Source organism: Homo sapiens, chromosome 5 (genome assembly GCF_000001405.40).
Source record: "Homo sapiens chromosome 5, GRCh38.p14 Primary Assembly".
NCBI lineage: Eukaryota > Metazoa > Chordata > Mammalia > Primates > Hominidae > Homo > Homo sapiens.
Window position 1 is genome coordinate 137,674,093 of NC_000005.10, and position 12,654 is coordinate 137,686,746.

Sequence of the window (12,654 nt, forward strand, 5' to 3'; positions counted from 1 at the left end):
ACACTTCTTATATTCTAAGCTTTTTTCATATATCATCCCATTTAATCCTCATAGCAACCTTACAAGGTAGATACTATACTACCATTACTCACCTTTTACAGATGAGAAAACTGAGCCATAGGGAGGTTCTTTTATTCGTCCTTTCAACAGCTATTTTTTTAGTGTCTACCATGAACCTGATACCACTCCAGCAGCGACAAGCAGACAGACAAAATTCCTGTCTATCTACTTGTATACGGTACATACATTCTTGTGGGAGATAAATAACTTGCCCAGGGTTCTCAGCTTGTTTAAGTAGGGAAGTCAAAATTCAAACTGAGCCCCTCTGACTGTAGAAGTTATACTTGCAAACTTACAAGATGAAAGCTGCCTGTTACTTACACTCATCATTAATAGTAAAATATTACATTTCCTCTATTTTAAGGCGTATGTGTTTTTTACATGTTAATGTCTGAAATCTGGCTTCATTTTATAATATATGTTCAAAGAAATCTGTGGGCTGCATGCAGAGTAAGTCATAATTGCCGTTATGCTGTTAAGTGTGGATTTAGTGGAACACCAGTTACTTGATTACCAACCCAGTTGGGTTTTCTGCAACTGTTAACATTATATGCAGTTGAATTTTAACTTAAGATCCCTAATATTACTTCAAATACATTTTAAAATTCCACTATAAAACAGTATTGAAAGGAAAGGTTATTATGCATGCAAGAGATTGCTTATCACACACAATGTAATTAAAGGGCGTAGAAATCACTAAATCTCCTGGAGCAGACACAGAATTTTCAAAGCCTAAAGGACTAGCATTAAAATGAAAAACATCTAATTGTCAGAAGCTTCCAGCTATTTAACTTCCAGCAAGACATGATCAATTATGGAGAAATAAAACTATGAGGTTAGCCAAAGAGAAAATGTAGACCAAGCCCCACTATTCTTTAATAAACCTCAAAATTACACTGCCAACCTTAAAGGTACTAAAGGGATCAAGATCATGAGTAATCTGCTTTATGAAAAGCAGCACATAATTCTGAAGTTACATATAAGTTCCAAGAAGCAAATATGAAATAGAACTTCGTTAATGTGAAAAATACCTATACTCCAAACTCTGGCTATACAGAAAGAGCAACTCATATGTAAGTATATGAATTATTGAGCAACACTGCAAACAATTTTTAAGTGTATACATTTTAAGTGTATACATTAAGTGAAAAAAGTCATGTTTGTTTCTGGAAAGATATAATTAACTCAATGGCATATTTTACCATTATCAATGGCAAAATTGGTGCCATTATCATTATTAATGGTGCTTAAAAACAGATGATTGTGACAATTACAATGACAACTGCCATTTATTGAGTGCCTGCCAAACACTATATTTGGCGTTTTATATCCATTATCTCTAAGCCTCATGACAACTCTATAGAGGAGGGACTCAGAATTCCCATTTTAAATTTAAGGAAACTAAGGTTCAAAGAGACTAGTGACTTCTCAAGGTCATACAGCCAGAAAGCAGAGACTAGAACCAGGTTTGCCTGCGTCCAGAGCCCAAGTGGTTTCCAGGGCACTATAATGCCTCTCCCTATTAACAATCCACCCCTACTCCCCGCCAGACACAGCAAGCACAGATTAGCCTTCACATGCAGAAAACTTTCTATGATCTCAAGAGCAAGATGGGCCAGCATGAATTCAAAGTAACAGAGTCCCCCAACTCTCAACCCACATATCCCAAGATTATTCAAATCCTGCTGTTTATATGAGTGCTTCCATTTTCTCACTCTACACTTAGAACATGCTCAGGGGGGCCCCAAATTGACCAACTGTCTCAACATTCACATAGCCAATCAACTGACTGGTTCATCCCTTCCAATTGTGCCAATTTGACAGCATAATCCAGAACAGACAGTAAACGTGCTTGGTAAGAAGGAAGGGCATCCTCTCAGTTTCTGACTTTAAGGCAGGAAGGGTCCTATGCACACACACGCATTCAAGGAAGCCAAGGCCTCCCTGAGCCTAAGGGAGAGTCCAGTATATTGTGCCAGTCACCTTCTGGGAATCCATTGCTAATTTCAGGGAAGCCCACAGTTTTAACAAATGACTTTTTTATTTTAAGAAATGTTTTTCTTCTTGATCAAACTTTTCCAGGATGGCAGGCAGGGGTTTGTGAATTTTACCCCATTCTCTGGACGTGTGAATACAATTTCATCTCAGATATAAAATCCTTTTCAATGTTTGTCCTGAAGTATTCCCTCAAGGAAGAGCCTCAAGCTTGGATGCAAAGAGTGAACTAAGACATTCAAAAAACATTTATTGAGCATCTCTGAAGATACAGAAAGGAATAAGATGTAGTCCCTAACATCAAGGAACTCAGCTGAATGTGGGAGGAGGATCAGCTCAGAACTAAATATGTACAATGAAAAGGAGAACAAGGTGAGTGTTATCCTGAAACACAGAGAAGGAAGGGATTAATTCCAGGTGCAGGGTAAATAATAAACTGGGCTAATACTGATTGAACACCTACTAGGTACCAAGGACTATACCATGCATTTTACATATATTATCCCAATTAATTGCCCTATGGAATATGTTCTAATACTATTATCCTCACTTTACAAAATGAGGAAACACAGGAGAGGCAAAGTACCTCACCCAAGGTCACATAACTAATTTGTAAATACTGGAGCTGAGATTTGGACCTGCTGGCCAACACTGAAGCTTATGCTATTTTCACTATAGTAGACTACATCTACTGGCATAAAGAAATTTTTACTGGTAGAAGAGGAATCTGAATTTGCTTCCTCTTCTGTAATGCAGGGACAATAGTAATGTCTGCTTCACAGGGGTATGGTAGAGGTGGAATGAGCCCAAGAACATAAAGCACTTAGCATAGTGTTTGGCAAACTGTAAGTGTTCAGTAAATAGTGGCAGCTTTGTCATCATGATCATCACTGTTATTTCTTCTCTAAAGAGTCTAGAATGTAGCAGTCATGAGCCAGAAAGCCTTTTTATAATTTTTATTTTTAAAGGGATTAAAAAAAAAAGCTGTTGTTTTTCTCTGAAAGAAAAGAAAAGATTGGCCAAGCATGGTGGCTCACACCTGTCATCCCAGCATTTTGGGAGGCTGAGGCGGGCGGATTGCCTGAGGTCAGGAGTTCAAGACCAGTCTGGTCAACATGGTGAAACCCTGTCTCTACTGAAAATACAAAAAATTAGCTGGGCATGGTGGCGGGTGCCTATAATCCCAGCTACTCAGGAGGCTGAGGCAGGGGAATCACTTGAACCTGGGAGGCGGAGGTTGCAGTGAGCCGAGATCACACCATCGCACTCCAGCCTGGCCGACAGAGCAAGACTCCATCTCAAAAAAAAAGAAAAGAAAAGATCTCACCAAACCACAAGTCCTTCCCATGACCACCTGACGAGTGAGGTTCCCGTTTCCCCAGTGAGCCATGTCATACCTTCTCTTCTGAAGAAACGGTCAGCTTGTCGCTGGATATCAAGCTGCACACCTGGTCCAGACTCAGGCTAAGAAATTCTTCTCCTAGCATCACCTCTGGAAAGTGCTGCTCTGTTCCAAAAAAAAAAAAAAGAAGTTAAGAAAACAAAGTTGTAACACACTTCTGCCCTTCCATGACAATCTGTGGGATTCACAGTAGAGTCCTGGAGCAGGCCAGGGGGACCATGGAGGGAAAGGGAGTGAAACAAAGACAGAGACATCATGGCTGGAGGGAAATTTGCCTTTTAATTCAGCAGTGATGGCATCACCCACTATGATCCTCTGTCCTGAACATCAACACAGATGAAAATGGGGCAGACAGATCTGAGTTTGTATTTTTTCCATGCTCCATGAGATTAATAATAGCACTGCAGAAAAGCCTCACTGGGACCTGCCTCCATAATTGAGCTTATTTCCCCTCAGAGTGCAAGCTGGTAGAGTTGCAGACAGTGCACCCTGAAGCTCAGCCAAACAAAAATGGGTCAGAACTGCTGTGTGTCTGAGAGGTCTCTGGGGGTTCTTATAGGAAGTCAACATTAGAAGGTCAGTAGATGGGATCATCCTTTCTTGCCCAAAGTCAAGCCTACTATTGTGAGTCTCTGGTTCATGAGGAGGCCCAACTAAGCATTCATCCAGGTATAGTGGCAACAAGGTGACCCTACTACCCCTAGGAACAGTCCACAGAGCCAGGCCTATGGAACTGTTCAAGACAGAGGGAAATTTGGTGACAACTAGAATAAGATAAAACCCACAGGCCTAAGATCCACAAAAGGGAAATACCAGGGACAATTCCTACCCTGACATTTTTCCAGGCCATCATCCTGCTATTAGAGAATTATATTCACTGAAATGTCATCTACTTCAGAAAGAAGGAGCCTAGGTTCAAATCCTGGCTTTGCCATTTATGATTATGTTTTTGGGCCAATGGCATCACTGCTATGTTGCCCAGGCTGGTCGTGATCTCCTAGGCTCAAGTGATCCTCCTGCCTCGGCCTCCTGAATAGCTGGGACTATAGACACAAGCCACTGCACCTGACTTCATCAACTTCATAAAAATCAAACAAAGAATTTAAGATTTAAATCATTTCTTGTGAAAATCATTTTTAACTTTTTATATTGAAATAATTTCAGACCCAAATAATTCTCATACAAATTTCTACCTTCATCCAGATTCCCTAAACGTTAACAGTTTACTCTCAAATATTGAGTTATAAACAATATTTTCCATCTTCCACTGGACAAAAAGGGCTCCCCACTTGCTCTACACCAGCCTATTGATATTACTATGGTCACAACTAAAGGTTGTCCATCTTGAAACTCAGGAATATTTACACATAACAAGACAAATCTGAAAGTCAGTTTTTTTACGAAGGAAACCAACTGTCAACATCAACATGGTAAGAAGCTGGTCTTTGCTTCTCTGTATATCAAAACAAAAAAAGCCTTTAGTTTTTAAGTTAAACATTCAAAAAACCTTCCTAACTATGGAAATATTTAAGACTAGATAGTACTATTTTTTAAGTGTTCATTGCTAAAGATCTTAAAATAAAAGCAAGAGAGCAATCTTCTTTGGATGGTAAGAATTTATTCTTGGGCTGGAAGCTGGGAAAGTACTGGATTCTCCCTCCATTCCCTTTCTGATCCCAGAAGTCTTTGGACCACAGTCCCCTGTCAATTGGTAACACCCAAGAAACAGCAGATAGAAAAAGCAGTCACCACACAAGCCACCACACCATGAGCAAGCACAGGACATTGAGGCTCTCTGGACCAGCCACAGCTGAGCTCAGCAGGACCACACGGTTCTCAGGAGAGTCCTGCAAACCAGCACCAACATCTCTGGCCCAGAGCCACATCTGGCCTTCCCACATGTATCGTTGGCTGACCAAAAAGCTGACAGCCGGAGAAGGGAAAAGAACAAGAGGAGGTAAGAAAGTAAAATTCTATGCTGTGAAATAAAAATTTCCTTAGAGCTCGTAAGACTGTAGATAGGCTTAGATTTTGAAAGGGAAGATAAAGGAAGTGCAGTAATATACATTCTAGGTGATGTGGGGAACAAATTAGAAATCCTTAGAGATAAATCAAGACAAAAAGTAGTCAGCACCCCACCTCCATCTCTCTGTCCCTCCCCTACTGCAGGGTTTGAATCTAAACCCCTTCTTTCTGAAGTGGGCTGCTTCTCTGCCCATCTGGAACCTTCCACTGAAATCCCATTCAGAAATCCTCCCAGGAAGCAGTATCTGGTGGGGAAGGGGCAACAAGAGAAATAGCAGGCAGCAGCTTCTCACCCAGGGCTGGCACCCAGGGATCTGTGAGGTTTGTAGGGCATAAGCAGAAAGAGACAAAGAAAGCAATCAAAGAGGAAAATGCCTTCCCGTTTCCATTTAGTCTGAGGAGACAGGGGTAACCCCCAAAGTCTTTGAACTAGGGTCCCCTCTCTGTTACCAACACTCAAGAAACAACAGGATAGAAAAGACAGGAACAGGATGCTCCAGCTAACTCCATTTCCTGGGAAATAGGATTTCCCCAGAAGACTTTGTATTCCAGTCAGCCCTCTCCACAGCTGCTTCCTGGAAAGAACCCACTTTGCTCCCAGAAGATACCTTCCTGAATCATCTTCTATTTTGAACAATTATTTGGGGTTTTTTGTTTTGTTTTGTTTTGCTTTTAATGTATTAATGGAGAATGTAGTAAAGAGCCTTGGCTAAGGGTCAGAAGACCTGGGTTCATGTCTTATAGTCACTTCTTCCCAGGCTTCGCCATCCATTTTATGGATGGCATGCTCATCCATAAAAGGCAATCATAATACCTGACATAGGTCTCAAGATTGTTTTGCAGCCCAAAGATAATAATATATATTAATTCATTTTGACAGCTTTAAGAAACTCTTTAGAAATGAAGGATAAATATTACCAGCCTGTGTTCCCACTTTCCAAAGTCCAGTTCTGTGAGCAGCAACACTTTTTCTTTTTTTTTTTTTTTGAGACAGAGTTTCGCTATTTGCCCAGGGTGGAGTGCAATGGCGCGATCTCAGCTCACTGCAACCTCTGCCTCCCGGGTTCAAGTGATTCTCCTGCCTCAGTCTCCCAAGTAGCTGAGATTACAGGCGTCCACTACCACGCCCAGCTTATCTTTTGTATTTTTAGTAGAGACGGGGTTTCACCATGTTGGTCAGGCTGGTCTCGAACTCCTGACCTCAGATGATCCACCCGCCTCAGTCTCCCAAAATGCTGGGATTACAGGTGTGAGCCACTGCGGCCGGCAGCACCACTCTTTAACAGAGAAGATTTTCTATATCAAGATATCCCTTGGGACCAGGCACAGTGGCTCATACCTATAATCCTAACAGTTTAGAAGGCTGCGCAGGAAGATCATTTGAGGTCAGGGGTTCAAGACTAGCCTGGTCAATAAAGTGAGGCCCCTCTCTATTTAAAAAAAAAAATGTTAAGACATCCTTTGGGACTGCAGATCCTATGGGCAAGGCTGTGGACCTGCAAGATCTTAGAGAACAAATTTAATTCTATCGAATTCAACAAACTGTCCAGTGGTATAGGTTATTCAGTTCCTTGAGGCTGCAGGTTTCCCATATATTAAATGGAAATAATAATAGTACATAAGGTGATATGGGCATTAAATAAAGAAATAGATGTGACTCACATTTACTGAGTCCATTGCAGGTGCTAGATAACTCTTAACGTATGATGTATCAAATGCAGCATTTCTTCAAAAATGAAGAAACCAGAACTGATGTCTACAAGGACCCTACTGCCTCACAAGCAAGATAAGACAAGGCATCAATAACTCCATCCCAAAGTCCACCTCTCACATGACTGAGAGAGGTACTTTCAGTACAAACAAAGGCAGGGAACAGGAAAATTCAGAGCATATGTAAAGAACAGTAATAGTGAAGTCTAGCTAGAACCTAGGTGATGTCTTCATTCATCCAACAAAGGTTTGCTGAGCACTCCCTAAGTATGAGGAGCTCTGCAGGCTCTTGGAGATGCAATGGAGAGGCAGACAAGGCTAGATCCTGGGGGAGGGATGCATGTGCCGGGGGCATAGTACCTTTTAACCATGGGTTAAAAGAGAGTTATTATTGGAGAGTTAGCCCTTGAAGGGTAACTCTCCAATAATAACTAACTTTTCTTATCGTTTCGCTTCTTTTTCTTTAAGAGGGGTGGACACAGAGAAAAATAAGTCAGTTAATTAAGAGTTCTGGTTAAGAGTCCTAATTAGCCAGGTTTTACTATAAGTAACAAATATTGTTTAAGTTCCATGTCCTGATTGGTAAAACACAATGAGTATGTTCCTGTCCATATGGATGGGAAATTATGGAGAAGAGGAAGAGGCACCATATAACTTTCAGTCTTTTCCCCATCAAGCAACACAAACATATCTTCCCAATGTTAAAAGGATAATAAAATTTGGGTGATATATTCCCAGGCAAGGGCTTTCTCTGGGGGTACAGTTGGGTCTCGGAGACAGTTGAGGCCATTTCCTAATACTAGCTAACACCATTCTAAGCATTTTACATATATTATGTCTCTCAATCCCCGCAAAAGCCCTACTAAAGTGAGTATCAACATCCCCATTTTACAGATGGAGAAACAGAAGCCCAGAAACTCTAAGACAGGTGCTTAGGTTTACAGAATAGTAAACCTGGTAGAGCCAGGTTTTGAACCAAGACTGCCCAATTATAATAACAAATATTCTGATGAGTATCTTAGGTACCAAGATAAACACCTATCCTGAGCAGTCCACTGGGGTAAAATTCAACACAGACATCAGAAAACCTTAAGAATCCCTCTCAGGGGTGCTGGACATAGAGAGAGAGAGAGAGAGAGAGAGAGAGAGAGGCATAGACAGAGGATATGCATCTAAAAACCTTTCTTTGGGGAAAAAAGAGAATAATCTTAGTCCCTAAATTCCTAACTTCTTGGCATTTTGGAGTCAGTTCTAGGTTCAAATCTCAGACCTAACCCCAGAATTAAGATATTTCCCTAATCCCCCCATCCACTAGGCTAGAGGAAGTGATAGTCTTTGGGGTTCCCAAAGCCCCCCAAACAAGATATAACAATCATATCCCTAATCACCCTGCTTTATTACATGAATCTTTCTATTCTATTCGGACTGGGAGCCCCATGAGGTCAGGGATCAAGTCTGTGTTATTTGAAGCTGAATCCTCAGTCTCCAGCATAATATCTGTATATACCGAGCTCTAAAATTATTACTGCACTTTCCTGACTGTTCTTCAAGACTGCCTAGGGTTCAGGCAACCTCTCAAGCTAGCCCCAGGACTATTCTTCTCTCTTCACGGAATGAAATAAACCTAAACCTTTGATCTGGTTCATCTAACCTACAAGCTCAGAACAAATGGAATGATGACCCATCTGTGACTTCCTTGACTTTGCGGGGATTGAGAGACATAATATATGTAAAATGCTTAGAATGGTGTTAGCTAGTATTAGGAAATGGCCTCAACTTTCTCTGAGACCCAACTGTACCCCCAGAGAAAGCCCTTGCCTGGGAATGTATCACCCAAATTTTATCATCCTTTTAACATTGGGAAGATATGTTTGTGTTGCTTGGTGGGAAAAGACTGAAAGTTATATGGTGCCTCTTCCTCTTCTCCATAATTTCCCATCCACATGGACGGGAACATACTCATTGTGTTTTACCAATCAGAGATGAAATAAACCCCATAAGCCCCATAATTCCCAGGGCCAGCAGCCCCAGGGAACAGGTGTGAGTGCCTCTGAACTGAACCACAGGTCACACCCTCAGGAGACACTGGCTGACACAGGTGGACACACAAACAAAATGGAAACATTTTGGCAGGGTGAAAAAACAAAACCACAGAACTGCCTTAAAACTCTCTCTTCTGCCCCTTATTACTCTATTTTTAGAGGCCAGAGGCAAGCTTCCTTGAATCAATATTTAGCTTTCCAGGCTCACAGTTTCTCTGCTCTAGGGAAAAGGCTCAGTTCCCACAGGGAAGTAACAGAGACCCACCTTGACCTCTTCTCAGAAGGGTCATGACCACCAGCCCTCAGACTCTAAATATTACTACCTCCACACTCCCTGGGAAGGCAGGAAATAAGCTCTCTTTCCATGTTGCCTTACTCCAGAAATATTATGTGTTGTCCTCTCCCTCTCTTTCTCTCTCTCTCTCTCTCTAGCTCTCTTTCTCTCTCTCTCTCTCTCTCACACACACACATGCACGCGCACACACACACACACACATACACACAGCCAAGGGCCATAATAGTGCTATTGATTCAACAGTGAGGTTCCCCATAACCCAGAAAATGGAACAAGTGAAGTTTCCTAAAATCCTAACAAAGAGCAAGCAACGAAACCTATCTGTGTCTGCACGACTGCCTCATTTGCCAACTTCAAATTAGATGCAGAAAATCCAAGAGAGGCAGGAGTGAGGCAACCATCATAGAAAATAGGCTAGGCTGGTCTGGGTGGGTGGGAAATAAGTAGCGGGGCTTAGGACACAGACCTCTGCAGTCAGCTGGCCTCACTCTGGCACTGCCACTTATAAGCTGTTAATATATGATCTTGGACAAGTTACTAAACTTCTCTGGGGTTACAGTTTCTTCACCTATAAGCTGAGAAAATAATAACTCTTATACTTAAATGAACAAAATGAGGCCATGCCTATGAATCATGTAGCACCATTCCTGGCACCTAGCAAGTATTCAAAAATGATAGAAATGCCCATCATTATGATCATCATTATTTCATGGTGACAAGTTAGGAGCAGCAATTTTAGAAGAGGACTCTCACTGAGTCAGAGATTTATGTTTTTTAATGATTTTCCAAATTTTTCTGCTGCCTTAATTACTTCATTCCATGATCTCAAATGACTCAATCAATCAAAAAAAGGCCATTTCTCTCCATAAGCACGTGAAATCCAATGGCTTTTCCATCCCATGGCTGGAGGTTTTTGCTTAGCTTTGGCAGACTGATGTAAACAACATGTCCAAAGAATTTTAATTGCTATTTCATTAATGAAGTCCCATTAACATCCCTCCCAAACAGCTCTGCTGATGGCCCAGTGTATGGCTGTCCAATTACCAAACAACAAAGTCCCCATAACCCTAGGCCCTGGCCTCTGAGGTTAAAGATTAAGCAGTCCCTGGAAACAACAATAATGAGGTATAAGAAACAGGCTGTGAAAGACACTGGGGTCCATTTCCCAGCTACTAGTTGCCCAGGAAGACTGTGATGCCACTAGCTAAGGCAAGAGTCTGAGCAGTCAGCTTCTAAATGCGGGACCTACCCTCCCTACCCCAGAATAACATATATCATAGCAAAGATCTGGGGAACTTCCCTGAGGGGGAAACTGAATCCAGAGGAAGCAGGAGGGACTGCCACAGCAGGAAGAGACAGGGCCCTTCCAAACAGGAAACCAAATAGGCAGCTGGACATAGAGATGATGCTTCAGCCCCCACAAAGTTGTGCTCTCGCTGGAAAAGCCGAGGACCTATCAGAAGGCAAGACTGGCTTTAAAATAAAGTCACATTTGTTTAGACAGCAAGTTGGCAAAATCTATCAAACAACTTTTTAATGTACATTCTCTTTGATCCAACAACTATGCTACTAAGATTGTACCCTACAGGTATACTAGCAAGTGTACTCCAAAATATTATGTACAAGAATTCTCATGGAAGCATTTTAAATAAAAAAACTGGAAACATTAATGTCCATCAACAGAAGACTGGTTAAATAAATTATACTCCATCCATGAGATGCAGCAGACTAAAAGAATAAGATATAGCCATACACAAGGGTGTGGAAATAATTGCAAGATTTGTATTGTCAAACAAAAGTACAACGAGTACAGAGTGCTTTCTGTTGTGTAAGTTAAAAAGCATAATATATAAATTCTGTAAGGATACCAAGGATCTCCCCACTTCAGAGAGACAGGCTGGGAGAAGACTGGCTTTGCATTTTATACCTCTATGTACTGCTTGCATTTTTTGGTCATGAGTATAAATTGCTTTTATTGAATATATTACCTAAATGTTTCAAACAATGGTCTAGAAATGTATCTGCTAACATGGAAAGAAATTCAGAATATACTGCTAAGAATGTTTTTTTAAGAGATGGGGTGTCTTGTTATGTTACCCAGGCTGGATTCAAATTCCGTGGCTCAAGCTACACATGAATGCTTGAGCTATCAACCTCAACCTCCCAAGTAGCTGGGACTATAGGCACCTGCTACTGTACCTGGCTAAAATGTTTTTTAAGCTGGAAAGCATACATATACAATGAAAAAGATTTGGAAGGATATACATCAAGGTGCTGCCAGCAGTTCTCTCTGGGTAGGATTGTGGTATAATTCTTTCCACCCATGTGCTTTTTCTGTAATAGTCAGGGATGAGTTTTTATTAAAATAGCAATAATAACAACAACAACAATAACAACAGAAAAAGAAAGCTTTTTAGAGAAGGAAAAGAAACAGAATTCAGCAGCTAAACTGGAATCTACAGACAAGTGAAGGCAAAGCAAAGCTAGCCAGAAACTGGGAAGAGTAGGGGAGGCTGGACAGGACATACCTGCCTGCACTATACATCTAGATAAAGAGAAAACAAAACCAGAAGTCCTGGAAATCCTTCCTCCCCAAAAGTGCATGTGGTCTGCAGCAGCAGTGACCTGAGGATTCCTGTGTCTCCTGCCTGGACCCAACTGTGAAGCTCCCTCACTGCAGATGATGAGGCTGGCAGGGAGGCTCCACAGCACAGCGCCTGTGGTGTCTACTTCCATAGAATGCTCTCCTCCCCATTCCCCCTGTTCCCCAGATCATCCTGGAAACAGGATAGGATGCGCTACTCCCATGATAGAGAGAAGAAAATAGGCTCAGGATTACTCAGCTCCAAAGTGTTAGCTGGTCTGATTCCTAGTTCTGATCTGGAAGGTCTCCTTGTAGTTTGTTGGCATGAAATACCTTCTAACTCAAGGCCTGGGTCCAGGGAGACCTGTGACCACAGAGACCAATGCTTTCCCTTGTGTGTGACCCTAGTGGGTGCCTGCACCCCTGCACTTACAGTAGAGTGAGGTCACAGGTCTGTCTCAAGAGGCAGCAATGGTAGAGAACCCCAGGCTCCATCTAAAGTCAGGGGTACAAGGAAAAAAGCAGGCCCACGTCAGTGGGT

At 41.7% G+C, this 12,654-nt stretch overlaps 1 protein-coding gene across 3 annotated transcripts in view, besides 3 other annotated features; it reads right to left on the reverse strand.

The window, feature by feature from the left end:
* KLHL3 (kelch like family member 3) overlaps nt 1-12,654 on the reverse strand; it is a 118,590-nt gene that overhangs the window by 56,593 nt on the left and 49,343 nt on the right. For all 3 annotated transcript variants that reach the window (NM_017415.3, NM_001257194.1, NM_001257195.2), the window contains one exon: nt 3,453-3,562. In NM_017415.3, coding sequence (NP_059111.2) covers nt 3,453-3,562 — 110 coding nt within the window. The remainder of the gene's footprint in view (nt 1-3,452; nt 3,563-12,654) is intronic.
* Nucleotides 5,155-5,355: a silencer, noted in NCBI's record as "peak5486 fragment used in MPRA reporter construct". NCBI's record gives its function as "represses an SCP1 promoter by STARR-seq MPRAs in K562 erythroleukemia cells {active_cell/tissue: K562}" and the evidence as "EXISTENCE:reporter gene assay evidence [ECO:0000049][PMID:32103011]".
* Nucleotides 10,348-10,593: a silencer, noted in NCBI's record as "fragment chr5:137020129-137020374 (GRCh37/hg19 assembly coordinates)". NCBI's record gives its function as "represses an EF-1alpha promoter that drives an FKBP-Casp9 reporter gene in an ReSE screen in phorbol 12-myristate 13-acetate-treated (for megakaryocytic differentiation) K562 erythroleukemia cells {active_cell/tissue: K562(+PMA)}" and the evidence as "EXISTENCE:reporter gene assay evidence [ECO:0000049][PMID:32094911]".
* Nucleotides 10,568-10,862: a silencer, noted in NCBI's record as "tiled region #14679; K562 Repressive non-DNase unmatched - State 22:ReprW". NCBI's record gives its function as "represses a minimal TATA promoter and a strong SV40 promoter by Sharpr-MPRA in K562 cells {active_cell/tissue: K562}" and the evidence as "EXISTENCE:reporter gene assay evidence [ECO:0000049][PMID:27701403]".